Source organism: Homo sapiens, chromosome 2, assembly GCF_000001405.40.
Source record: "Homo sapiens chromosome 2, GRCh38.p14 Primary Assembly".
Lineage (NCBI taxonomy): Eukaryota > Metazoa > Chordata > Mammalia > Primates > Hominidae > Homo > Homo sapiens.
The window spans coordinates 37,084,376-37,111,913 of NC_000002.12; the positions used below are offsets into that span (position 1 = coordinate 37,084,376).

Here is a 27,538-nt window from a genome sequence, read left to right on the forward strand (position 1 = left end):
AGCGCTTGCGCGGAGGGCTGGTCTTGCGCAAGCGCAGTCACCACGTCCTCCTATCCCCACCCGCCGCGAATTTCCAATAGAGTCTGCACTAGGAAACTGGTGGGAGCCGAGGTCCGGAAGTCCGACGCTGGTCGGTGGGCGCATGCGCAGCGCGCGCTCTACGGCGCTGAACCGGGGCGAGCAGAGAGCTGTCAGGTAAGAGAGCTGTCAGGTAAGGGTCTGGGGACAACCGGTAGAATGATAAAAGGCAGAGTGCGCTGGCCATGACTACCGTATCACACCGTCAGCCACTTTTCCATCCGTGGGTGGTTGCGTCTGTGGGACGCTTGCAGCCAGGAGGAACGCGTGAGGGAAGGGATCAGCGGTTCCTGAGCGTAGTATTGAGAGTGGGACGTTTCTTGTCACATTTATACTGTAGGTCCATTTCTCCACTTGTATATGTAATGGGACTCTCAATATGTCTGTTTCCCGACTACGCCCCCTAAAAAAACAAAAACAAACCTACTCCTACAGTCTTCCCACTCTCAAAAAACGTTAACTCCGTTCTTCCATGTATTCAGGCCAAAAACTTAGCGTTATCTTGACATCGTTCTTTACGTACTACCTACAACATCAGCAAATCCTGTAAGCTCTACCTTCAAGTGTACCCCAAATGCGACCACTTGCATTGCTATCACTCTGGTACGAGCCTCCATCATCTCTGCCAGGGTATCGCCTTGTGAAGTTTATGCTTATCTTTGATGGAAATGGATAATGCTAAAGTATATTTTACCAATAGAAAGAGAGCTTTAAAAGCAACCTGTAACCCCATTCAGATGTGCCTGGCACTTTAAAGTTAAGTAGGTCTCTTAAAAACAATGTAATCCTATTTGCAAGGCACTATGACCCGGATTCTTTGTGGTTTTGAAATAGTCATTTAGCCATACTGAACCTTAATTTCTCCAACAGGAAAAACTCTTCCTACCTTGTAGAGTTGTTAGTGGTGGTTAAATGTGATAAAAATGTGTGATATACTGGGTAAGTGTTAAACCATTATGTGTAAAAATGCTGTTATTACCAATGAAGAATCTGAGGTTTAGAGGAAGCGGGTGAATTACCATAAATGCTGTATATAATAGTGCACGTTTTTAACTTATAATAAAAATAGGTAAACTAAACTGTAATGTTTAAAGATGCACACGTGGATGACAAAACTATCGAGAAAATGAAGGAAATGATTGCCATAAAAAACAGAATAGTGACTATTCTTAGAACCAAAAGAGAGTTGCAACTGGATAGGGGACAAAGAGGGCTCCCAGGTGCCTGATAAGGTTCTACTTCCTGATAACTTTTGCTACATAACAAATTATCCCCAAATGTAGCAGCTTAAGATAACTGTAATCATTTGTTATCTCACAGTTTCTATGGGTCAGGAATTTGTTAGCAGCTTAGCTTAGTTTAGCATGGACTTTCTTAAGAAGTTGCAGTGAAGATGCCAGCCCAGGCTGAGTCATTTGAAGGCCTGACTGGAGCAAGAGAATCCATTTCCAAGGTAGCTCACTCCTGTGGCTCATGAGTTTGTGCTGGCTTTTAATAGGAGGACTCAGTTCCAATCGTGTGACCTTCTCCATAGAGCTTCTTGAGTATCCTTATTATGTGACCACTGACTTCCTTCAAGTGAGTCATCTAACTTCAAAGTTAGAATGACCTAAGAGCTGCAGTTATGACCAAAAAATCAACTCCATCATCTCCACAAAATCCTGTTGGTTACACAGGTTAATCCTGTTCACTGTGGAAGGAGACTACACTAAGGATGTAGAAAACCACACAGCAAGAATGACTGGGAGTCATTTTGGAGGGTACCACATGGTTACAAGAATGTTTGACTCACAGAAATGTATTAAGCTGTACATTTGTTTTATGTGTTTTCTGTACGTATTTAAAAAGTGTTTAAAAATGACTTGTTGACATAGGAAAAAGTTATAAAATTACAAATATTAAAGACCCTTTTTATCCTCATTGTTGCTAAACAATTATTAAGCATTTGTGTTTGGGATGCAGTGGTAGGTAGGGAGGATATAGGGGACTTGTCTTTGTGTTTAACACAAGATATACATTATCTAGTTGAGAAGATATACATTAAAAATATAAAAAACCAGGCCAGGTGTGGTGGCTCACGCCTGTAATCCCAGCACTTTGGGAGACCGAGTGAGGCAGGTGGATCACTTGAGGCCAGGAGTTTGAGACCAGCCTGGCCAACATGGCAAAACCCTGTCTCTATTAAAAACACAAAAATTAGCTGGGTGTGGTGGTGGATGCCTGTAATCCCAGCTACTCGGGAGGCTGAGGCATGAGAATTGCTTGAACTCGGCAGGTGTAGGTTGCAGTCAGCTGAGATCACACCACTGCACTCCAGCCTGGGTGATAGAACGAGATTCTGTCTCAAAAAACAAAAAAGAAAACCATTAAAAATTAGTATAGTAATCCTTTTTTCATCCAGTGTAATTGTCTAGACACTTGGTTGCAGTTGACAGAAACCCTACTTCAGCAAGCTTAAGTAATGCAGAAATGTATTAGTCTATGTAATGGGGTAGAATGCTAAGTCGCAGCTTCAAAGAATCCGCAGCCTTGGAAACTAGGCTCATTTTCTCTATCTGGCTTCATTCTTCAGACAAGATCCCTTCATGGGGCCAAGAAGATGGCCATCCACAGCCCAGCTTCACATTCTCCCAGTTCAGAAACACCCATAAAAGACCTTCTTTCCCCCACAACCCATATATTCATATAATGTAAGGAAAAAGATGGTTATTTCTCTGGCTGGGTCATCTCGTCCCCTGGTGCTGGACATAGAGTACTATAATTGACCATCTTTGTGCCCAAGGAAATATGGGATACTGACATTGCCACCCTCCACTAAAACCACATGAAGGGCAGAGGGTTGGATTCCCAAAGGAAAAGATGGTAGGCAGGAAAAAACAGTACATATGCACCACAACAAGTGAATACACTTTTGTCTTAAGCAACTGAACTAGCAACATTGACATTGCCTGTGAACCTGCTAGAAATGCAGAACCTCAGGTTCCAGCCCCAGAATCAGATTCTGCATTTTAAGAAGATCTCAGTGCAATTTGTATACACAATAAAGTTTGAGAAGTACTTTTGTAGAAAATTACTTTAACCCTTTAAGGGCCAATAATTACATGATTTTAACTATTTTGGATAGAAACTGTCCCTCAAAATATTTCCACATAAGTGAGTTGTTAACTATATCAACTTCCAAATGAGCAGCTTGGACATAAAGTGCTGTAGAGAAAGGCCTGGAGTGGTCAGGAGAGGTTTCTGAAGGGAGGGTAGCCTTGGCCTACAGGGAAGAAATGTTTGTACTCTGTTCAGAGGGCAGTGAGGAGCCATGGGGCTTGAATAATGAATCCTTAGGGACAGTTGTGTCAGATTATGAAGGACAACATCTCATGCTTTGCAAAAGTGACTGGTCCCCCACTGCCTACAGGGTCAGGTTTAATGAAGGATTTGAAACAGGCTAGTAACGTGACCTGACTTGTATTTAAAAACAAACAAGCAAATAAACAAAAAACCTCTGGATGGGGTGCAGAGAATGGACTGGAAGAGGAGACCAACTAAGAAGCTGATTAAGAAGCTGTTGTAATAGTTCAGGTGAGAAAAAAAAAGTGCCTGAACTAAAGCAGTGGTCACAACTGTAGAGAAAACGTCTGTGAGGAGTTTTATGGAGGAAGACTTGACAGCTTCATAAGAGGTCAGGAAGAAGGAGATAATGATGACATCAACATGGAAACACAGGGGATGTAGAAGGCTGGGGAAAGGGGAAAGAAATGAGTTGTTTAGATTGTTGAGTTTGAAATGTCCACAGATAAAGATGTCCAAAGGGCACTTGAATATATAGTAGAGCTCTAGAGACAGCTCATGGCTGCAGATACAGAAAGGTTTATTTCCATTCTGATAAACTAAAAAAAAAAGTAATTATTACTTTATTTGTAGATACTATAGCCATATGAAGTTGAACATGGCAGAAGAAGAGGACTATATGTCTGATTCCTTCATTAATGTCCAGTAAGTAAATGTGCACACCCAGTGCAATGATATGTATAAGATGTGTAGATTAAGAAATGACATTGATTTTATTTTATTTTATTTTATTTTTTTGAGACAGGGTCTCATTCTGTTAGCAAGGCTGGAGTGCAGTGGCACAATCTTAGCTCACTGCAGCCTCAAACTCTCCAGGCTCAGGAGATCCTCCCATCTTGGCCTCCCGAGTAGTTGGGACTGCAGGCCTGCACCATCATGCCCGGCTAACTCTTCTTTTTTATTATTTGGAGAGACAAGGTCTCACTGTGTTGCCAAGGCTGGTCTCCAACTCCTGGGCTCAGGCGATCCTCCGGCTTTGGCCTCCCAAAGTGCTAGGATTACAGGCATGAACCACCGTGCCCAGCCTGACAGTGATTTTAAATGTGCAGTGGGAAAGTCAGTCTTCTTGCTTTATGGAAATACCTCCTATGTCACCATAGAAAGATACTAGAATCTACTTCCTCCTTTTAATGCTAACCATTTTACTTTTGCCCTTGATCCTTTTTATTGCCTTCTTCCAAGGAAATTTACTCCTTTTCCTTTATTACATCATATTGTCTCTTCTAGCTGCTATACAACTTTGTTCTTTATTATTGCCAACATCCTAGAAACATAGTAAGTCTAAACTTACTATATCTGATTTCTTCAACTTCGTGCTTTCCTTATTTTCCTATGATCTGGCACCAGCCTTCATCATTTCTACTAAAACAGCCATTCTTAGAGGTCACTGATTATGTTCTAATATCATAATAACAAAGATGATCATAGAGGTAGTGCCGAAATATTAACTGTTGTCAGGTGAGTAAGTGACAGAGTTATGAGAAAACTTGGCCAGGCGTGGAAGCTCACGCCTGTAATCCCAGCACTTTGAGAGGCTGAGGCGGGCAGATCACCTGGAGTCAGGAGTTCAAGACCAGCCTGGCCAACATGGCAAAACCCCGTCTCTACTAAAAATACAAAAAATAGCCGGGCATGGTCGTGGGCGCCTGTAATCTCAGTTACTCAGGAGGCTGAGGCAAGAGAATCGGTTGAACCCAGGAGGCGGAGGTTGCAGTGAGCCAAGATTATGCCATTGCATTACAGCCCGGGCAACAAGAGCGAAACTCCGTCTCAAAAAATAAAAAAAAAAAAAAAGAAAAGAAAACTTTATGGACTCATCTAAAATAAACTTTTCCCTTATTCAGAGAAGATATCAGACCAGGATTGCCAATGCTAAGGCAAATCCGAGAAGCCCGTCGAAAAGAAGAAAAGCAACAGGAAGCCAATTTGAAAAACAGGCAGAAGAGTTTAAAAGAAGAAGAACAAGAAAGACGTGACATTGGGTTGAAGAATGCACTAGGCTGTGAAAACAAAGGGTTTGCCTTGCTCCAAAAGATGGGCTATAAAAGTGGTCAGGCACTTGGCAAGAGTGGTAAGTCACATGTGGAAATAAACAGGTATTCCTTACCACCTAATTGTGACTTATGGATAAGGACCAAAGCTGATGCTTTAATCTTTATCTACACAGAAATTATAACAACTTAGGCTTTTTAGTCTATTATGTATTAACAAGCCTTATGGAGAGCTTTTCATCATCCCACATCCATTTTAGATACCACATGTGCCATCAAGAGCTGCTTATCAGCCCAGCTTAGCTGAAGGCACTAACAACCTAGATGGATGTGGCTTACAACAGAAGAAGCAAAGAATGGTGATAAGTGATGGGTTGAGAAGTGCAATGGCTAAATACATTGAAACAACACTGAGGATGATGGCAAGACTTTGCCCTGCTTGCTCTGTACCTGTGGCAGCCATCTGAATGACCGTCCAGTTGGAGAGGCTCAATTCTCACCTCTCTTTTTAGGAAGTGAAACTGCTTATTAAGCTAGAGAGGCTATATATTTATAGTAACCTCTGTAAACCGTTTTTCTTTCCTTTATCGTAATTGCTTTGCTTTCACTTAAGGCTGTCACCGTCTTGCACCAATAATATCAGTGTTGTTCCTTCTTAAAACTCCACCTTCAGGTGGCATAGGAGGCTGTGAATCAGCCTTTTTGATGAGTAGGTATTTGAAGACAAGGTAGATAATTGATTATATATAGAATATATATAGATGTTCAGATTTCAATTTTGAATATCATTGAAACAGGAGGGCATATGCATAGAGCATTGTAAAGTTGCATACTTATACTGTTCTGTAGTTTGAGGAAAATTTTCTAAAATAGTTTGTATTCATTCTCTTTAAGGGGGTGGTATTGTTGAACCAATTCCTCTCAATATCAAAACAGGTACGTAATTATTTTGGAGCATATTTGCCAATAATAATAACTTACGCTTAGGTCTACCACATATATTTGCTCAATAAATACTTTTTTTTAAATGATAATACTGTTACAGTTCAGTAAAATTTTGTTAAATTTCTAAACCTCTTCAACCAGAAAAGAAATAAGTTTTAGTGAGTATAAAATAAAATTTAAACCACACGAATATGGGAAGAACAAATCATTACAACCATTGAATGTGCAATACTGTTTTTGTCCATTGAAATGTCTTAAAACTGTTTTGCTCTGGGAGGCCGATGCAGAAGGATTGCTTAAAGCCAAGAGTTGGCCGGGCGTGGTGGCTCACACCTGTAATCCCAGCACTTTGGGTGGCCGAGGCAGGCAGATCACCTGAGGTTGGGAGTTCAAGACCAGCCTGACCAACATGGAGAAACCCCATCTCTACTAAAAATACAGAATTAGCCGGGCATGGTGGTGCATGCCTGTAATCCCAGCTACTTGGGAGGCTGAGGCAGGAGAATCGCTTGAACCCAGGAGGCAGAGATTGCAGTGAGCTAAGATTGCGCCATTGCACTCCAGCCTGGGCAACAAGAGTGAAATTCCATCTCAAGGAAAAAAAAAAAAAAGCAGCCAGGAATTTGAGACCAGCCTGGGCAACATAGCAAGACCTCATCTCTGCAAAAAATTTAAAAAATTAACCGGGTGTAGTGGCACGCACCTGTAGTCCTTGCTATTCAGGAGGCTGAGGCGGGACGATTCCTGGAGCCCACAAGTTCGAGGTTACAGTGAGCCATGATTGTGCCACTACATACCAGCCTGTCCCTATAAAAATAAAATAAAATAAAAGTGTTCTGAGACAGATTTATCTACCAAATGTTTTGCTTAATACTTGGATGAATTCAAGAGAAAAAGATATATTTTATTCATATTTAAATAAAACTATAACAGCTAATACTGTTTTTCTGATTTGAAAAATTGTTTATAATATTACTATAAGATGAGATTAACAATCTTTGTAAAAATCAGATTATGTTTTGGGCTTAAAAAAAACCCTAGTGTTTTCTACTATTAGTGTACTCAAATGATTTGTGAGTGATAGTACTCAAATGAGAATTGCATTTAATTTGTACATAGTTAAATCGTCTTGTTTTGAAGCACAAAGTCAGGATGTTTCTCATCAGAATTTTCTGTTTGAATAGGGAAAAGTGGCATTGGTCATGAGGCATCATTAAAACGGAAAGCAGAGGAAAAATTGGAAAGCTACAGAAAAAAGATTCACATGAAAAACCAAGCTGAAGAAAAAGCTGCAGAACAGTTTCGGTAAAACTATTTTTGAGCTGGTTTTGGTTCTATTTCCTCTTTATTGTGGTATGTTCTCTGGTACTTGGGCATATAAAATGGTTAAAGATAACGTAGACCTTTAGTTTACAATTTTTTCTTTCAATTAGAATGCGACTTAAAAATAAGCAAGATGAAATGAAGCTAGAAGGAGATCTCAGAAGAAGCCAGCGAGCCTGTCAACAACTGGATGTCCAGAAAGTAAGCCTTTTACCAGCTTTCAGTTTAGTAAAGTGTTTTGGCACCCCCTGTGATTTCCCGTTTATTTATTATATATATATATATTTTATATATGTATTATATATATTTATATATGTATTATATGTTTATATATGTATTACATATATTTATATGTATCATATATATTTATATATTTTTTACATATGTCTTATATATTATATATATTTTATGTATTTATATATATAATATATATATTATATATATATATAAAACTAAGAACTCCAAGCCCGGTTTATCTACTCATTAAAGCTTTCATGTAATGTGCACTTCTGATCTGTGACAATTGATATAAAAATGGCTTATTATTTACTATAGTAACCTGAGTTGTCTGGGTTACTATAAAACCCAGGGTTTTATAGTAACTATAGTTTTATAGTTTTATACTAACTATAGTAAAACAAAAAGGGTTAAATAAAATTTTACATTTAATTGTTCTCTGCTTATTTGAATATCAGTTATGACTATTATGTGCAGAAATTCTGTTCTTTATAATATTTGATTAACAAGAATAGCCTATTTTCAGTTCCTATTCAGTATCTAATATATGTCTAACTATTAAAATCAGAGTGGGCCAGGCATGATGGCTCAATCCTGTAATCCTAGCACTTTGGGAGGCAAAGGCAGGATGATTATTTCAGCCCAGGAGTTCGAGACCAGCCTGGATAACATTTCAAGACTCCATCTCTACAAAACATCTTAAAATTAGCTGCATGTGGTGGCACACACCTGTAGTCCTATCTACTCAGGAGGCTGAAGTGGGAGAATCACTTGAGCCCAGAAGGTTGAGGTTGCATTGAGCTATGTTCATGCCACTGCACTCCAGCCTGGGTGACAGAGTGAGACCCTGTCTCAAAAATAAAATCAAGGTGGAATGCTATCTAGTTCAAATTTGAATAGTTTTTAAAAAATTCTGTCTCTGGCTGGGCATGGTGGCTCATGTCTGTAATCTCAGCACTTTGAGAGGACGAGGCTGCAGGATTGCTTGAGTCCAGGAGTTTGTGACCAGCCTGGACAACATAGCAAGTCCCCAGCTCTACAAAAAAAATAAATAAGTAAATAAATTCTGTCTTTGCTTTTATCTTAGTGGTTCAAGTACTCTGAAAATAAAATGACTTCATTTGAAGTCTCAAAAAGCTTTGTAAAATTTCCCTTATATATAGATTACTGGAAGCAATCTCTCACTTTCCTGTTCTTACATATTACTTTACTTTGAATGTATTTCATGGCACTTATGATTTTGTAGCATATATGTATTATTTTGTACCCATAGCCTATCTTTCCTGCTAGACTGTCAGAAGGAACTTAAAGACAACTGCACAATTCTAAAGAATTGGACTTTGCATCCCCATAGTTCATGGTACAATGTTTTCACTTTTTTTTTGAGATGGAGTCTCACTCTGTCACCAGGCTAGAGTACAGTGGCGTGATTTTGGCTCACTGCAACCTCCACCTCCTGGGTTCAAGCAATTCTCCTGCCTCGGCCTCCTGAGTAGCTGGGACGACAGGCATGCACTACCACGCCCAGCTAATTTTTGTATTTTTAGTAGAGATGGGGTTTCACCATGTTGGTCAGGATGATCTTGATCTCTTGACCTCGTGATCCACCCACCTCTCCCTCCCAAAGTGCTGGGATTGCAGGCGTGAGCCACCGTGCCCGGCCAGTGTTTTTACTCTTAAAGCCACACTCAGTGAATACGTATTGAAAGAATGAATTCATGTTGACATGAACATATTTGTCATGCTCTTATGTTTAGTATGTTTAATTGAGACTACTTCTGCATTTTCAGAATATTCAGGTTCCCAGGGAAGCATGGTACTGGTTGAGGCTTGAAGAGGAGACTGAAGAAGATGAAGAAGAAAAAGAACAGGATGAAGATGAATATAAGAGTGAAGATTTAAGCGTATGCTTTGCACCATTTCCTTCATAGGGTGTCTCAGCCTTGGCAACATTAGCACTTTGAGTTGTGGTAATCCGTTGTTGTGGAGAGCTGTCCTGTGCATTGCAAGATGTTTAGCAGCATCTCTGGCCCCTGCCCACCAGATACCAGTTGCACTTTTGCTTATGACAACCAAAACCCTCTCCAGACATTGCTAAATGTCCCCGAGGGGAAAAATAACCCCTGGTTGAGAGGTACTGCATTGCAGGATTACTTTACTAACCCCAAATCAAAACTTACATATAATTTTTCCCTTTAGCTTCCATTTGTCCTCTCATCTCAGCTTCAGTTTGGATGATGAATTAGCAACAAATGTAAATTATTTTAATTTATACCTTATTTCCTGCAAAACTTCTACAAGTCATTCTAATGTGTACTTTTTTCTCCTACTTATAAACAACAAAAAAACACAATCAAAAGAAAATGGAGGCCGGGCATGGTGGCTCACACCTGTAATCCAAACACTTTGGGAGACCAAAACTGGTGGATCACTTGAGGTCAGGAGTTTAAGACCAGCCTGGCCAACATGGTAGTGTATTTTAGTCTCTACTAAAAATACAAAAATTAGCCAGGTGTGGGGCACCCAATAATCCTAGCTACTCAGGAGGCTGAGGTAGGAGGATCACGTGAGCCCGGGAGGCAGAGGTTGCGGTGAGCCAAGATCACGCCACTGCACTCCAGCCTAGGTGATAGACCGAGACCCTGTCTCACAAAAAAAAAAAAAAAAGGAAATGGAGATTATTCAAGAAAGGAAAACACACTCGTATGCTTACTTGAGTATAATAATTTTGTGGAAAACATTCACAATTTGAAAAACCTATATTCCACTTAATTGGGAGACCATTGATGAGAACTTTTATGGCAAAAGGAGGCCATATTCACCTTCACCTTATCTGGGGGAGGTAAATGCCTTGAAAGTAGAAAAAGCCTTTAAAGGATGCCAATTTTAATAAGGCCACCCAAAAACTATTTTCTCAATGTTAACAAGCAGTCTCCATTGTGTCTGGCAGACTTGTGGAAATCTCAGGGTGGCTAATGAACTGTAACACATTCGAATATATCAGTTCTGTCCTTGACATTTCTAATAACTATTCCAGAGTATAGCAGAATATTTACAGCCTTGAGCTAATTCGGCACGATCTAAGAGCCAGAAAACCAAGGTTCTGTTCAATGTAAAGTATTAATAATGTGCTTGTATCCTATAGGTACTGGAAAAATTACAAATATTGACTAGTTATTTAAGAGAAGAACATCTATATTGTATTTGGTGTGGAACAGCCTATGAAGGTAAGAAAATTACTTTATGCTTTTTAAAAATAGATGAATGCTCTCCAATTTTTAGTTAAAGTCATTTCCCACTGACAATGGAAATTTCTTATTCCATTCAAATGGCAGTATGGGACCAATTTCTTAAATAGTGGATATAGAAATAATTGAGGCTTTATTAAAATTGCATTTAACTTTTCAGAAACTGAATGTGTGGAAGTGAATTTTTCAGTGTTTTGTTTCAAAAGAAACAATTTTAGAATAACCTGAGAATGATGAATGTTTTGTGCTTTATTTTTAAAGATTCTTTCTTTGGCTACAGATATTTGAAAGAATTTATATTAAATTTTAGAGCTAATTTTTATATACTTAGATAGAATATTGCCCCTAAACCGTAAAAATCAGATATGTTGAAATCCATTCCTTTTTTTTTCCATTGTAAGGATAGAAATGGTTTACACTTACCAGGTGTCTTACAGAGCCAAGTGTTTCTCCTTCTAACACCTTTGCCCAAGCTACCTTTGCTAACTTGTATTTAAGAACTTTGTACTTGAGAGTGAAGCATTTTTGGTTATTGTTGTTTTTATCTTTTCTGGTTTAGCAGAATAAGTAGAAAACATCAGATCAAAAAATGCATGTTATGTTGAAATAATTTTCTAGTTTACTGTAGAAGTTGTATTAATCTTTCATTTCCCTCACATAACTTACAGATAAAGAAGACCTATCTTCAAATTGTCCAGGACCAACTTCTGCAGATCATGACTAAGATTATTCCCAATAAAGTGGAAACTTGAAAAATGTTATTACTTCCTAGGGATAGACAATTTAGCAGTTGGAAATCTCAAATTTTTTATGCCAGTAAAGAAAGGGGGACTTTATATAATGTTTTGTTCTTTTTGTACTTTAGAATATGAATGTTCATTGACTTGAAAAAAATAATGCAATGGCATTTCAGAACACAAGTATCACAGAGATGGACAGTTACAATTTATTGCTATATTGTGATACGTGAGGGGTTTAAGGACACCAACAGGTAACTTCTTATTCCCCTCTTCACTTTGGAACAAATTGAGAAATAAGAAATGGGAGTCAGAGGAAGAGAAAAATATCCACTTTATCAGTGAATAAACTGATACAGAGAAGAAGGTTGACTTTTTCTCCAGTCAGAGACTGTAATATTTCTCCCTGATTGGAGAGAACAGCGGGTCTCTGCCTTGTTGGGGCAGAGCCCATCTTTGCATTCTGAGACCAGTTAGCTTTCAAGGTCAGGGAAACCACCAGGGGCTGGACCACACATGCTCAGTTCCTTCTTGTATCACCCATGGGATAAGACAGTTCTCTCTTGGGAAGGAATGAATGAGGGTTCAGAGAGCTTTTTCCTACACTTCTTGCTTTGAAGGAGCAAGGAGAAGTTCCCTTCCCTCCATCCAAGCATGAAGAGGAGGGGAAAAGTATTCCCCTCAATAAGGCTGATGTCAGAGGCAATGTTCGACCAGTACTACTAAATTCTAATCCATTTAACTGTGATAATTTCTGGTAAAATCATGAGTTTTCATGACAATGTCTATATCCATTATATGTGATCTGTTGGAAGTTTTGGCTAGAGAAACTTAATTGTGAGGAAATTTAAATATTGTGTGATGCAAGTACTTACTGAATTTGGAAACCCCTTGATAGCATTCCCAGCAAGTGATAGTTCAACCTTTGCTTTTATTCTTCCAGCCACAGAGAACTCACTGCTTTAAAACCATTCCATTACTGGGTAGCTCTGAATTGTTTTCATTGTTTTCTCTTAAACTGAAATCTGCTTCCCTGTAATATTAATGAATACAGCTAAGGACATACCGTGTGGCATACTATGAGAGAGCTCCATCCAGGGTGAGGCATCAAAATCATGAACCTTTTTAAAAGTTCATATGCTCAGGTGTCTCTCCTAGTGATTGATTTTGATTTGTCTTGGCTAAGGTGGTTCCTGGATATCTATATATTTATTTTGAAGTCCCAAGAATGAGTGATAAGCACCTGAGGATAAGAACTAGTACTGAGGTTAAGGATGGAGCACCACCATTCTTTGGATAGAGTTGTGATCACCTGTGTGATTTTATAGCTCACCTGTTAGTTAGATTGAGCAAGAGAACAACCCCTTTTATTAGAAACAGCATACATAAGAAGATTGTAAAAATTAACCTACACTTGCTAGGGTAAGATAATCAGTAGTACAATTTGTATTAATCTCTGACCTAATATGACCTAATTCACTTTTCAAGTTTAACTTGGGGAGCTTTACAAAATAGTAATAAAAGGGTCCCATCCCAAGAGATTCTGATGCCATTAGTCACTGTGACTTGGGCATCACTGCCCTTGATTCTAAAATGCAGCCTACCTTGAGCCACTAATCTAGTTAACTTCTGGGCCTCAGTTCTTCATCCAGAAAACTAATCATTATTTTTATGAATGTAAATATGTGTATATATATAATATTTATATGTTTGGATGCTATTGTTTAATATTTACTTTTTTGTTTTTAAAAAAATTATAAAATTGGCTGAGCGCAGTGGTTCACTCCTGTAATCCCAGCACTTTAGGACGCCAAGGCAGGCAGATCACTTGAAGCCAGGAGTTCAAGACCAACCTGGCCAACATGGTGAAACCCCATCTCTACTAAAAATACAAAAATTAGCTGGGCGTGGTGGCATTCGCCTGTAATCCCAGCTACTCAGAAGGCGGAGGCATGAGAATTGCTTGAACCTGGGAGGCAGATATTGCAGTGAGCTGAGATCATGCTGCTGCACTCCAGCCTGGGTGACAGAGCAAGACCCTGTCTCAAAAAAAAAAATTATATATATATATGTATGTATATATATATATATATAGAGAGAGAGAGAGAGAGAGAGCTATTAATAAAACAGAGGAGTACATTTTACCCTTGCAATTCCAGTCAATACTGTGGTGTCATTTCAGCCAACATACCAACATTCAGTCAAATCCCAAAGCCAAATGGATAATTTCAGATGGAATGGAGTTAGACAGGAACTGGCTTCCCTTTCTCCTGTTACTATGAGGACAACCCACACCTGCTCAGTGGCCTAAAATATTTTAAATATGTTCATGACAATTATGCTGAGAATGCCAGGATAACACTGATGGAACCCATGACTTCACCAGGATTGTGGTCTACATTTACAGGCCTAGTACTAGAACTAGACCGGCTTAGAGAGTGGGAGATATCCCTCTGTTGTCCATCGAAAGATAAAAATACAGGCTTTCAGCCGGGTGCAGTGGTGCATGCCTTTGGTCCCAGCTACTCAGGGGGCTGAGATGGGGAATCCTTTGAGCCCAGAAGTTTGAAACCAGCCTGGGCAACATAGTGAGAGACCTCCATCTTAAGGGAATAAAAAAAAAATCAGACTTTCAATATGAGTAACAAGTTATTTTTAGGCCTTTTATGACTTTATAAATAGGCAATAATGAACACCAAGGGAAGCAAAACACTGAAAAGAATTTTAAAATTTGTTGTAGAACATTAATACGAAATTTGAAACTGCAAAACAATGTAAAATTTAATGTCATGTTGTCATTTACTTTTGTGTATATTGTGCCATGTTTATTTTCAAAGTCCTATCTAGAAATTCTAAAATGTCTAATTTTCTTAATTAAAAATCCAGAATTCTGTAGTTTCTGAAATTCAAAATAAATACTTTAACATACCAAATTGGTTTTTCTAATAAACATTTATTTCAAGTGTTATTTGTTAAACATTTAATTGTTGAGATTTGAAAATGAACATTATTATTTATTAGACACATTTTATAGGCTCATTCAAAATTCTTAACTTTTGAGTTCCTGCTTTCTTCACAGCAGTGCACTCACTACTTTCTGGTATACAAGAAGAACAGCTTGTCCCCACTCTTACAGTGTAATGAAATTAGCAGTATAATGAAGAAAAGTGCTGTGTAGGAATGACTGAGCTCTAAGACAAACTGGTAAGAACAATTAGGTACTAAACAATGGGAGTACTAGGGAGAAGATTCATTTTGAGTGGGAGATGTTGGAACACTTTGGAAATAACACTGAATTTGGGTTCTGAAAGATGGATATAATTTTGATATGCAAAGTTATGAGGAAAGAGTTACTGTATAATCCAGCCATTCTCCTAGGAATATACATCCAAGAGAAATGAAAACAAGTCCACATAAGATTTGTACACAAAAGTTCATAGTAGCATTATTCATGGTAGCCAAAAAGTACAAACAACCCAAATGTCCATCAGCTGATGAATGGATACATAAAATGCGACATATCCATATGATAGAATATTATTTGGCAATAAAAAGGAATGAGATGCTGATTCATGCCACAGCTGGGATGCACCTTGAAAATATACTCAGTGAAAAAGACCACATGTATGATTCCATTTATATGAAATGTCTAGCATGGGCAAATCTATAGAGATGGAGAGTAGATTAGTGGTTACCTAGAGTTGTGAGAAAACAGAGTGAATACTAACGGGCATAGGGTTTCTTTTGGGGGTGAGAAAAATGATAGTTGCACAACTCTGAATATAGTAAACACTACTGAATTGTATACTGTATAGGTGAATTGTATGGCATGTGAATTATATCTCAATAAAGCAGTTATTAAAAAAAAAATGAAGAGAATTTCAGATAGAAACCACAGGAGAGAGCCACTGAGTGCAAAAGCCTGTTGAGGTAAAACTGCAGACCTGCATGGGTGGGGCTTACTCGGGAAACACTGAATATGGGATGCATCATGGAAGCCTCCAGAGGAGCATGGCCTTGCCCAGTGAACTGCAGCCCAGTGAATCTCATTTTAGACTTCTGGCCTCCAGAACAGAAAGAGAATAAATGTGTGTTGTTTTAAACCACCAAGTTTGTGGTAATTTGTTAGTTATAGCAGCCATAAGAAATTAATACAGGTCCAAATCAAATTAACCCCATAAGAGCCACACAGATTTGAGAAGCATTTTATTTGCCTCACAGTTTTGCCTATTATACAGTTTCTAGTTATTTAGAATTTAAGCCAATAATGTCACCATATAACTATCAACTGTGATTCCCTTCATCTATGACTATTTTTAAGAAATGTAAGATTTGGATAAGTCATAATCACAGATCAGAAACTGCAGACATTGAGGCCTGGATGGCCGTTTAGAGAGAAAGAGTTAACATTTCAGTGGAGACCTTTCCTATCTTGTATTTCCTACAGTCTCCTCCTATCTTCAGTGCAGTGTTCTGGCAGCACCTCAAGCTCACTGTCACCAAATGGGATTCAACGTCTTTCCTCCCAAACATGCTCTACCTCACCATGTCGATAGATGTACAGTCGCCCCACTACTGGCTTAAATTCTAAATTACTGAAAACCATGTAACAGGTAAAAGTGTGAGACAAAGTACCCCTCAAATACATGTGGCTCTTGGGGTTCATCTGACTGAGACTTGTATTTACTTGAATGGCATCAGAATCCTGCTACTAACCTTCTAACAAACTTGGAGGTAATCTTTGATGCTTACCTTTCCTTAATCCCCACATCCAATTAGTTGCCAACTCCTCTTGGTTCTGTCCTCTTATTGTTCAGGCCCTCTTAGTCTTTCCACTTCTGACCTTTCAAATATAGTTTCCTCCTGCTCTATTCTAAACATGCTAGTTTCAAAGTATTGGTTGGGCCATACCTTGCTTTAAAGAAATACTCATTTGTCAACTGTGGAGGTTGCTAGGGCACTAACTCACTCTAAAATTTGATAAATATTTATCGCATCTTTCCCATTCAGATTTAGAGAAAGTTCCTTAAAGAAGAATCATAGATGATAAATGCAAGAGGTTTGATAGAACCAGAAAATCACTATTTTACAACCCCTGAAATGAAATAATGGATCCAGGCAACAATTATCAATAGCTGCTAAAACCATCAGGTGAAAGATTGATGAGAAACTTTGTAGTAGTTGGTACCACCAGAACTCATTGATCAATATTAAAATCACTGAAAGTGGAACAATCAGACATCATGTTCCTCCTGAAATGATGTAAGAGAAAGTGTATAGCATCACCTATGGAGTATTCTTGGGGGAAAATAAATGAACCAGGATCAAATCCAGCTTCTAGGTCTAACTGGACACTCTGGGGATACTCTCAGTCAAATCCTGAGTGGAGGAAATTCCACAGGACAAATAAAAGCCGAAAAGAACTAAAACGCAGGGGTAAATTTTACAGAGTAAAGGAGACACATCAACCAAATGCAATGTTGGATCTAGATTTCAACAACCAAGAAAACTGTATTTTTGAGATAGAAACAATACAGACTATTATATGATAATTAAGGAAATCTTGTCAATTTTTTGAGTGTGACAATGATGCTGTGGTTTTGTTAAAAAGATTTATCTGCTAGAGATACATTTTAAAGTACTTACAAGTGCAATGATGTAACACCTGAGATTTACTTTAAAATATTCCAGTAGGGCCGGATATTGTAATCCCAGCAGTTTGGAAGACCAAGGCAGGAGAATCTCTCAAGGCCAGGAGTTTGAGACCAGCCTGGGAAACACAGCAAGACCATATTTCTACAAAAAATTTAAAAATTAGTTGGGTGTGTTGGTGTATGCATGTAGTCCCAGCTATTCAAGCGGCTGAGGCAGGAGGATCACTTGAGCCTAGGAGTTCGAGGTTACAAGGAGCTGTGATCGTACCACTGTACTCTGGCCTGGGTGACAGAGTGAGATCCTGTCTCTTAAAAAAAAAATTACAATTAAATACTTCACCAAAAGAAACAAACAAAAAGTAAGGGGTTAGATGTATTAAGAACGGTAAAGTATTGATATTTGTTGCAGCTGGGTGATGGGTAGAGTTTCATTATTCTATTTTTGTGTATGTTTGAACATAAAGAAATGTATGAATAATATTGAAATTATTCAATATTCCATAATGAAAAGTTAACATGCCAAGAATCTCAAATTATGGTGAACACTCAGTGGGGACTGCATATTGTGAGTTATGTCTCTAGTTAGTTAACAGATAGTAGAGACCTGGAAAAGCTTGTATGTAGCCTTTTAAACATTTCTTCTCAGATACATACATGCATATATATGTATTATATAAAATACATATTCATACACATATGTGCACACACACAGGATGGCTTCATGGACATGCAACCTGTGCAGTTGCACAAGACTGTGCTTAGAAGCACCCCACACCTAATTTTTGAACGAGGGCCGTACAGTTTCATTTTGCCCTTAGTCCCACAAATTATGTAGCTGGCCATACACACACATGCACACATACCACATACCCACATGTATATATGCATATATTGTGTACATATGTATATACATTGAATATATTTAACATAAGTGTTAAGTATGCATGTGAATTTTATGTATGTATTTATGTTAAACATGTACGTATTTAAATAACATGTGGTTTAGTGATAAAAATTCCCTAAAAGGTATGTTTCTAGGGAGGCAATTATATTAAAATGGCTCTCAAAATTTCTGTGTGTGTGTGTGTGTGTGTGCATTTTAATTAGCAAATAAGGTCCCAGGCTCTTGCCCCTGTCCTCCTCTGAGTAAGAGGATACTTTTTACTTTAATTTTGAGGCCAAGAAAATATATACTCACAAATCAAAAGAAGTTGCTAAGAAATGCTATATTCATTTAATAAGAGTAGGAATATATATATCTTTTTTTTTCTTTTTTTTTTTTGAGACTGAGTTTTGCTCTTGTCACCCAGGCTGGAGTGCAATGGCGTGATCTCAGCTCACTGCAACCTCCACCTCCTGGGTTCAAGCGATTCTCCTGCCACGGACTCCCGAGTAGCTGGGATTACAGGCGCCTACCACCACACCCAGCTAATTTTTGTATTTTTAGTAGAGATGGGGTTTCACCATGTTGGCCAGGCTGGTCTCGAACCCCTGACCTCAGGTGATCCACCCGTCTCGGCCTCCCAGAGTGCTGGGATTATAGGCGTGAGCCACCATGCCCAGCCAGAGTAGGAATATTAAAATGAGGTCAGTAAAGATAAGGCTACATTCTCACTAACTGGCCACATCATTTAGTGTTTCTTTTGAATATAGCCTCATTAATCAAAACCAGATATTGTTTTTTTAAAAAAAGATTTCTCTCTACGCAGAACATTTCCAAATCTACAGAAAAGTTCAAAGAATAATACAACAAACACCTGTGTACTGTCATCTAGATTTACCAATTGTACAATGGCTAATATTTTGCCACATGTGTGCCCTCTTTCTCTCTCCATGTTGATTTTTGCTGAACATTGAAAGTTGCAGACATCATGACACACTTGGCCTCTAAATGTTTGTGCATGCATTGCCTAAAAAAACATTTTTGGCTGGGTGCAGTGACTCATGCCTGTAATCTCAACACTTTGGGAGGCCAAGGCAAGTGAATCACCTGAGGTCAGGAGTTCAAAACCAGCTGGGTCAACATGGTGAAATTCCGTCTCTACTAAAAATAGAAAAAATTAACCTGGAGTGGTGGCAGATACCTGTAATCCCAGCTACTCAGGAAGCAGAGGCAGGAGAATCACTTGAACCTGGGAGGCAGAGGTTGCAGTGAGCCGAGATCGTGCCACTGCACTCCAGCCTGGGCGACACAGTGAGACTCTGTCTCAAAACAAACAAACAAACAAAAACAAAATAAAACAAAACAAAAAGACATTTTCTACATATACTATTATCACACCTGAGAAAACAGTTATTTGGCATTGTTATCTAATATGCAGTCTATATTCAAATGTTCTCAATTGTCCCGAAGATATCTTTATAGCTGTTTGCTGGGTTGTTGCTTTCTTTTATTATTATTATTATTTAGATATGATCTCACTCTGTCACCCAGGCTGGAATGCAGTAACATGATCATGGCTCACTGCGGCCTTGACCTCCTAGGCTCAAGTGATCCTCCCACCTCACCCCCCCAAGTAGCTGGGACCACAGATGCACACTACCATGCCCAGCTAATTTTCTGATTTTTTGTAGAGATGAGAACTCACTGTGTTGCCCAGGCTAGTCTCAAAATCCTATGCTCAAGCCATCCTCCCCTTTTGACCTCCCAAAAATGCTGGGATAACAGGCATTAGCTACTGCGTCCAGCTTTTGTCTTTTTAAATATCCAGAATACAATAAAGATTCAAACATTGCATTTGGTCATTGTATCTTACAAGTCTCTCCCCTTTTTTTTTTTTTCATGACACTGACTTTTTGAGAAGCCCAAGTCAATCATCTTATAGAATGACTACATTCAGGATTTGTCTAATAATTTCCTCATGATTAAATTCCAGTTTAACACTTTGTGCAAGAAAACTAAATAGGTAAAATTCTTAAGTCACATCAGGAGGGGCATAATGTTAGGGTGTTCCACCTTGGGTGATGCTAAATTGAATCACTTGGTTATTGTGGTGACCATTGTAAAGGTACATTTTCCCCTGTATAATTGATACCTCTTCTGTAGGATTATATTTAAATCCTTGTAGAAGATCCTATTCCACAATAGCTTTTCATCCAATAGTTTTAGCATCTATTGATGAACGTTACGTGAAAAATCTATGAACTGCTCTTTATGAACACTTTTTAAAGCCTTTATAAAACTATTTTCTCTTACTGTATTTTCACTTTTTGCTTAACCTAAATTTGGCCCTTTTTAAAAATCCTAAAATCATATGGCAGTTTTAGAATGGTAGCTGGTTGCTGCTATAGTTTGCATGTTTGTCCCCCAAAATCTCATGTTGAAATTTGATCCCAGTGTTGGAGGTGGGGCCTGATGGGAGGTGTTTGGGTCATGGGGGAAGACCCCTCATGAATACATTAATGCCGTCCCTGGGGGTGGGGTGTGCTGGGGAGGAGAAGCAAGGAGTTCTCAATCTATTAGTTCCCTCAAGAGCCGGTTATTTAAAAAGAGCCTGGCACCTTCTCCCTCGCTCTCTTGCTTCCTCTCTTGCCATATGATCTCTGCACATCCGGCTCCCCTTCACCTTCCACCATGAGTGGAAGCAGCCGGGGAAGAAGCAGATGCTGGTGCCATGTTTCTTGTACAGCCTGCAGAACTGTAAGTCATATAAATCTCTTTTCCTTATAAATTATCCAGCTTCAAGTATCCATTTAAACCAATAAGAAACAAACTAAAACAATTGCCCTAAGTTGAAATTCACCCTCAGGGTCGTCTTCTAAGATGCAATTTAAATTATCTTCTCTACAGCAATTCAGGACAACAAACTAGCATACCCCATGTTCCTCAAATATATCTTCTCCAGAGCTCATGCCAGACCCCTTGTCCAGACTTCCTGGGTGGTCTCCTCTCTACTCATCTAACACCCTGGCATATAGTTGGAAGGCCCACTGGGCTGTCACTTCTAGCCCTGTGCTCAGCAGAAAGCCATCTTACCCTTCCCGATGGACTATTTTCTGTTTTTAGCTACTGCCTTACAGCACGGTTGTCTTTAAAGTGGTTGTTACAATAGATACAAAATGTATTTAAGATAAAAGGTATAACTATGCAGCAAACACTAGTGGACCTACCATCCAGCTTAAGGAAGTTACCATTACCTTTGAAAGTCCATTTCCCCAATCACATCATTCCCCTCCCTCAAAGATAACCACCATCCAGAATTTAATATTTCTCATTCCCTTCCTTCCCATTATTGTCTCATCACATTTGTTGGGTTTTTTATACAAAATGATTTAGTTTTGCATGCTCTGGAACTTTATATAAATGGAATTATTCTGCATATATTTTCTGAAAACCTGCTTTGTTCGCTTAACATTATGTTTCTGAGAGTTGTATTGTGTTACGTTATTACATTTAGCTGTACTTCAATTGTTTTCAATACTATATAGTACTCCTGTGTGTGAATATAATTTTTTTAATCCATTCTTCTTTTGATGTGCATTATGGTTGTTCCCTGTTCTTTTGGCTATTATAAACAGGGTTTTATGGACATTCTTGTAAGCACGTATGTAGGAATAGAATTGATAGCTATGTGGGTATACATGGATTCAACTTTACTAGATAATGCCAAATTGTTTTCCGAAGTGGTTGTACATCACTTTTTTTTTTTTTTTTAATGAGTACCATATTTCTCCAGCTGGCTTGTAAGCTATGTGAGGCAGAGAACGATCTTACATTTTTTTGGCCTAAAAGCGGTAGAAATTTAATAAATAGATATGAATTGATTGATTCATTAATAGTATAAAAAGAAAATTTGGGGGTGGTTTTTCCATCTTTAGAACAAAGAGATGAGGCTGGGCGCGGTGGCTCATCCCTGTAATCCCAGCACTTTGGGAGGCCGAGGCAGGTGGATTACTTGAGGTCAGGAGTTTGAGACCAGCCTGGCCAACATGGTGAAACCCTGTCTTTATTAAAAACACAAAAATTAGTTGGGTGGGTGGCACATGCCTGTAATCCAGCTACTCAGGAGGCTGAGGCAGGAGAATCACTTGAACCCAAGAGGCAGAAGTTGCAGTGAGCCAAGACTGTGTCATTGCACTCCAGCCTGGGCAACAGAGCGAGACTCTGTCTTTAAAAAAAAAAAAAGAATAAAGAGATGAGCCAGGAAAAAGTAAAATGTAAGAATGTTTTTGAAGCAAAAAGAAGAAAACCTTTCTGTTTCTGCAGAAAGATTAGTAAAAATAGTAAAAAATTAAAGGAAACATTAAAATAAAAGGTAAATATCTATTGATATTCCCTAGCAGATTTTAGATAATTTAAGGAAAACTGCATATCAGAAGCAGGATACTTTTTCAGAAGGGCTCTAACATGTGTGTCGTTCATTTTTCTCTGGGCTTTTCTTCCACACAGTCAAGGTCCTTAGTATTTCAGATGTGTTAGGTCGATCCTCAGGTTTCTTTGAGAGTAATTTCTGTAGAAGAGTTTTCTGCAATGACAGTGAGAGTCAATAGTAAGAAATAAAACATTGAAATAAATAAAATTCTGATGATTTTCAAGTGCTTACTTCTTTTTTATCAAATATATCTGAGATGATGCCATCCCGTAGGTCTGTGAAAAACTGGAAAAAAAAATGATAGGTGTATATTAGGAAATTATTTACTTGGGAGGAAAGACAGAACTAAAGGCTGAGGAATACCTGAAATGTAGGATATTTCCAGATTTTTTGGGAAAGTCTCTTTAGCCAAGAAGCAAGCAGGATTCCCTCTCTCCTACACTACCCCCAATCTAATAACCATCCTTGCATTACGACATGAAGTGTTAAGTGCATCATCTTTACAATCTCCCTTCATGCATTTTGGAACCCTAAGTGATAGGTACTTCTAACTGTTTTACAGAGGATAAGGTTATTGACTCCAGGAAAGTTCCCTTTCCTGAGCTTAAGAGTAGGATATCCAGCTGGGTGCAGTGGCTCACACCTGTAATCCCAACACTCTGGGAGGCCGAGGCGGGTGGATTGCCAGAGGTCAGGAGTTCGAGACCAGCCTGACCAACATGGTGAAACCCCATCTCTACTAAATACAAAAAAATTAACCAGGCATGGTGGTGCACGCCTGTAGTCCCAGTTACTTGGGAGGCTGAGGCAGGAGAATTGCTTGAACCTGGGAGGCAGAAGTTACAGTGAGCCAAGATCGCGCCATTGCACTCCAGCCTGGGCAATAAAAGTGAAACTCTATCTCAAAAAAAAAAAAAAAAAGAGTAGGATATCCACTTGCCTACTGCCTTTAGTGACTCCCCACTGTCTAAGCAAGAAGGTCCACATTTTTTCCTCAAGTTAGCCCAACCTATCTTTCTAGCCTCACCAACCACTACTTCCTTGTAACTTATATACTCCAATACAACTTACACTGCCTGCTGTCCCCAAATACACTCTGTACATTCCCGCCTCCATGCTAGAATCAACTTTTCTGTTTTGGACTATTAGAAGCCAACAGATCCTTCAGAGCCCAGCTTAGATGTCTCCATGAAACCTAAGTCCCTACAGCTGGAAAGATCTCCCTCCCAGCTGCTTCCACAGACTTCATGCCTTCTCCTAAAATGCTTATGGCATTCTCTTATATTATCTTCCCTTTTAGAAAATAAGCTCCTTGAGAACAAGGCTTTATTCATTTATTTATTTAGAGATGGAATGTCACTCTGTCACCCAGGCTGGAGTGCAGTGGTGTGATCTTGGCTCACTGCAACCTCCGCCTCCCAGGTTCAAGCGATTCTCCTGCCTCAGCCCCCTGAGTAGTTGGGATTACAGGTGTGCACCACCACACCCAGCTAATTTTTGTATTTTTAGTAGAGATGAGATTTCACCACGTTGGCCAGGCTGGTCTCGAACACCTGACTTCAAGTGATCTGCCTGCCTTGGCCTCTCAAAGCTGGGATTACAGGGGTGAGCCACCGCGCCCAGCCAAGGCTTGTTTATTTTTGCAACCCTTACAGCACTTAGCACAGTGTCTTACACAAAGCAGTCAATCAATAAAATGTTACTGACTGACAAGTCTTACAAGTCTTATGAGATGTACTACCTTCCAGGGAAGATCAAAGTTTTTGGTCTTTAAGAAAGTGTTTGGTCTCTGCCAAACCTTGAAAGACAGAAAATTCATATTTCATTTGCAGTCAGATACTAATATGCTCAAGCCCATCCTCACGTGAGGGCAAGAACTGTCTGCAGCAGCACTCTGAAGGTGGTAGTCAGTAATTTTTCTTGTTTAATTCTTTCTTTGAGATAATTTTACCTTTGATGTTTCAAAAGCAGTGTCACATACATGAAGAAGTTCAGCAAGAATTAGCCCCAAAGCGTAGAGGTCCACTTCCTTTCCATAGTCTTGCGAAGAAATCTAAAGAGACCAAAATAGATTTACCTTTGTTATGCTCCTTACATAAATATCCAGCCTTCTAAAGCCCAAAAAAGTTATTTGACCAAAACATCTTACACCACAAAACAATGTCTATTTATTAGCAAAATCTGTGGAGTCTGACTGCCTAGGTTCAAATCTGTACCGCCGAATAGCTGAATCCTCTGTGTAAATTAACGATCAACATGGGAATAATCTCAGTTATAAAACAAGGATAACAACAGTATCAACCACAGAGTTTGATTGTGAGAGTGAGATGCAGCAGGTAAAGCAGTTAAAATAGCACCCAGTAGGCGGCTTGCATTGCAACTGTTCATAGCGTATTTATTCACAATATTCCATAACTGGAAACAACTCAAAGGACCACAACAGAAGAATGGATAAACATGTTGTGGCATATTCATACAATGGACTACGACTCAGCAATAAAAAGGAATTCTCTGCTGGTATGAGCAACAAAGTTTTTCCAGAAGATATTATTTTGAATGAAGAAATTAAATACAAAGAGTACCTACTGTATGATTCCATTCATATGAAGGTCAAAAACGGGAAGAACTAAGCTATGGTGATAGAACTCAGAGTGCTGGTTTCTTCTGATCAGTGGGGAGGAGGCACTGACTGGAAAGGAGCTTGAAGGAGCAAAATGTTCTATATCTTTATAGTCTTATAAGTTACAGAGGTGTATGCATTTGTCAAAACGAAAAAATATACACTTAAGATCTGTGCATTTTATACTGTATAAATTGTTCCTCAACAAAATGTTGCCTTTTTTTTTTTTGAGACGGAGTCCCGCTGTCACCAGGCTGGAATGCAGTGGCGTGGTCTCGGCTCACAGCAGCCCCCACCTCCCAGGTTCAAGCAGTTCTCCTGCCTCAGCCTCCAGAGTAGCTGGGACTCCAGGCACGTGCCACCACGCCTGGCTCATTTTTGTAGTTTTGTATTTCTGTATTTTTGTTTTTTTAGTGGAGATGGAGTTTCAACATCTTGGCCAGGCTGGTCTCAAACCCCTTGACCTGAGGTGATCTGCCCACCTCAGCCTCCCAAAGTGTTGGGATTACAGGCATGAGCCACTGCACCCAGCCAACAAAAGGTTTTTAAATGGAAAAAAAAACCACACACACATAATAAAAAGTAAAGTACAATGATGAATGTTTTTAACCAAATAGTGTGAGGGCAGCAATACAGGATGCAGGAGATACTGAAAGCAGCAGGAAGTTAAAGAGAGCCACTGGCCTATTGTGTTCTATATTTTTTATGCCAACTGGCTCCCCAAAAGGAAAAAGTACATGCCTTCTCCATTCTAGACTCTCAAACCATCAGATAGCTCAGTATATCTATTCTTGGATGACAAAATAGTAGAGATATTTTGAAAGCTGTATTGTCAGCAAAATAATCTTTAACGGGCATTTACAAATCAGAAATTAAAATAGGATAAACAACCCAAAAGGTAAAAAATAAAAGCAATCAACCCAAAAAAAAATCACATTCAAATAATGAGACTATATATGAGACAAATATTTAAAACTCAACAGCTGTACACCCATGTTCATCAGCAGCATTATTCACCACAGTCAAAAGGTGGAAGCAACCTAAGTGTCCATTGATGGATAAAAGGACAAACAAAATGTGGTGTATACATACAATGGAATTCATTAGTCAGCCTTAAAAAGAAATTCTGACATGTTACAACATGGATATATCTTGAGGATATTATGCTGAGTAAAATAAGCCAGTAACAAAAGGGTAAATACCGTACGATTCCACTTACATGAGGCATCTAGAATAGTCAAATATACAGACAGAAAGTAGAATGGTAGTTGATTGGGCTGTAGGGAGAGGAGAATAGGAGTTCTTTAACGGGTGTAAAGTTTCAGTTTTGCAAAATGAAAAGTAATCTGTGGATGTATGGTGGTGATGAAAGCACAACAATGTGAACACATTTAACGCCACTAAACTATACACTTAAAAATGGTGAAGGTGGTAAATTTTATGTTTGTATATTTTACCACAATTAAAAATAAAGAGATATATTTTTAAAATTAACGGCTACACTAATAACAAATTAGAGATATGGAATTTCTTTTCTTTTTTTTTTTTTTTCTTCAGATGGAGTCTCATTCCTGTTGACCAGGCTGCAGTGCAATGGCGCGATCTCAGCTCACTGCAACCTCCACCTCCCGGGTTCAAGCATGGAATCTCATTTTAATAGCAAAATGCAATACAGATTCTGGAGAAAGCTTCAAAAATATAAACAATATGACCAGGCGCCGTGGCTCATTCCTGTAATCCTAGTACTTTGGGAGGTCAAGACAGGTGGATCGCTTAAGCCCAGGAATTCGAGACCAGCCTAGGCAACATGGTGAAACCCAGTCTCTACAAAAAATACAAAAAAAAATTAGCCAGGTGTTGGTGGTTTGAGCCTGTAGTCCTGCTACTGAGGGGGCTGAGGCAGGAGGATCACCTGAGCCAAGGAGGTCGAGGCTGCGCAGTGGTGAGCTATGATTGTGCCACTGTACTCCAGCCTGGGTGAAAAGCAAGACCCTGTCTCAAAAAAAAAAAAAAAAAATATATATATATATATATATATATATATATATATC

The 27,538-nt window shown here is 38.9% G+C and overlaps 2 protein-coding genes across 17 annotated transcripts in view, besides 1 other annotated feature; one reads left to right on the forward strand and one right to left on the reverse strand.

The window, feature by feature from the left end:
• Positions 75-234: an enhancer, noted in NCBI's record as "active region_15579". NCBI's record gives its function as "activates an Ori minimal core promoter by ATAC-STARR-seq in GM12878 lymphoblastoid cells {active_cell/tissue: GM12878}" and the evidence as "EXISTENCE:reporter gene assay evidence [ECO:0000049][PMID:35858748]".
• On the forward strand, positions 143-14,869 carry GPATCH11 (G-patch domain containing 11). Of its 11 annotated transcripts, none has more exons than NR_163986.1 (10): positions 143-195; positions 3,994-4,065; positions 5,265-5,491; positions 6,306-6,347; positions 7,541-7,661; positions 7,790-7,880; positions 9,707-9,820; positions 10,277-10,385; positions 11,062-11,143; positions 11,833-14,869. NR_163986.1 is itself a non-coding variant. In NM_001371859.3 (10 exons), the coding sequence occupies exons 3-10, from the start codon at positions 4,007-4,009 to the stop codon at positions 11,886-11,888; spliced, it is 792 nt and encodes a 263-aa protein (NP_001358788.2). In that variant the 5' UTR covers positions 143-195; positions 949-1,017; positions 3,994-4,006; the 3' UTR covers positions 11,889-14,869. The 11 variants fall into 11 exon arrangements, 9 of the variants coding, with proteins under 9 accessions (NP_001358788.2, NP_001358787.2, NP_001358789.2 ...); NM_001371859.3 differs by lacking the exon at positions 10,277-10,385 and adding an exon at positions 949-1,017; NM_001371858.3 differs by lacking the exon at positions 10,277-10,385 and having other exon boundaries at positions 143-211.
• The window catches only part of EIF2AK2 (eukaryotic translation initiation factor 2 alpha kinase 2), a 57,771-nt gene continuing 45,067 nt past the window's right edge, over positions 14,835-27,538 (reverse strand). For 5 of the 6 annotated variants that reach the window (XM_047445116.1, XM_011532987.3, NM_001135651.3 and 2 more), the window contains 3 exons: positions 24,819-24,920; positions 23,099-23,152; positions 14,835-23,020 (listed from right to left, as the gene is read on the reverse strand). In XM_047445116.1, the coding sequence (XP_047301072.1) occupies positions 22,898-23,020; positions 23,099-23,152; positions 24,819-24,920 (279 nt within the window). In that variant the 3' untranslated portion in view covers positions 14,835-22,897. The remainder of the gene's footprint in view (positions 23,021-23,098; positions 23,153-24,818; positions 24,921-27,538) is intronic. The other variant, NM_001135652.2, reaches the window with a different exon arrangement.

Bases quoted from the DNA above. Each gene is read 5' to 3' on its own strand.
- GPATCH11 (NM_001371856.3), top strand. From the start codon at position 4,007: ATGAAGTTGAACATGGCAGAAGAAGAGGACTATATGTCTGATTCCTTC. The intron at 7,881-9,706 runs GTAAGCCTTTTA...CTGCATTTTCAG, and splicing joins AACAACTGGATGTCCAGAAA to AATATTCAGGTTCCCAGGGA. The intron at 11,144-11,832 runs GTAAGAAAATTA...CATAACTTACAG, and splicing joins GTGTGGAACAGCCTATGAAG to ATAAAGAAGACCTATCTTCA.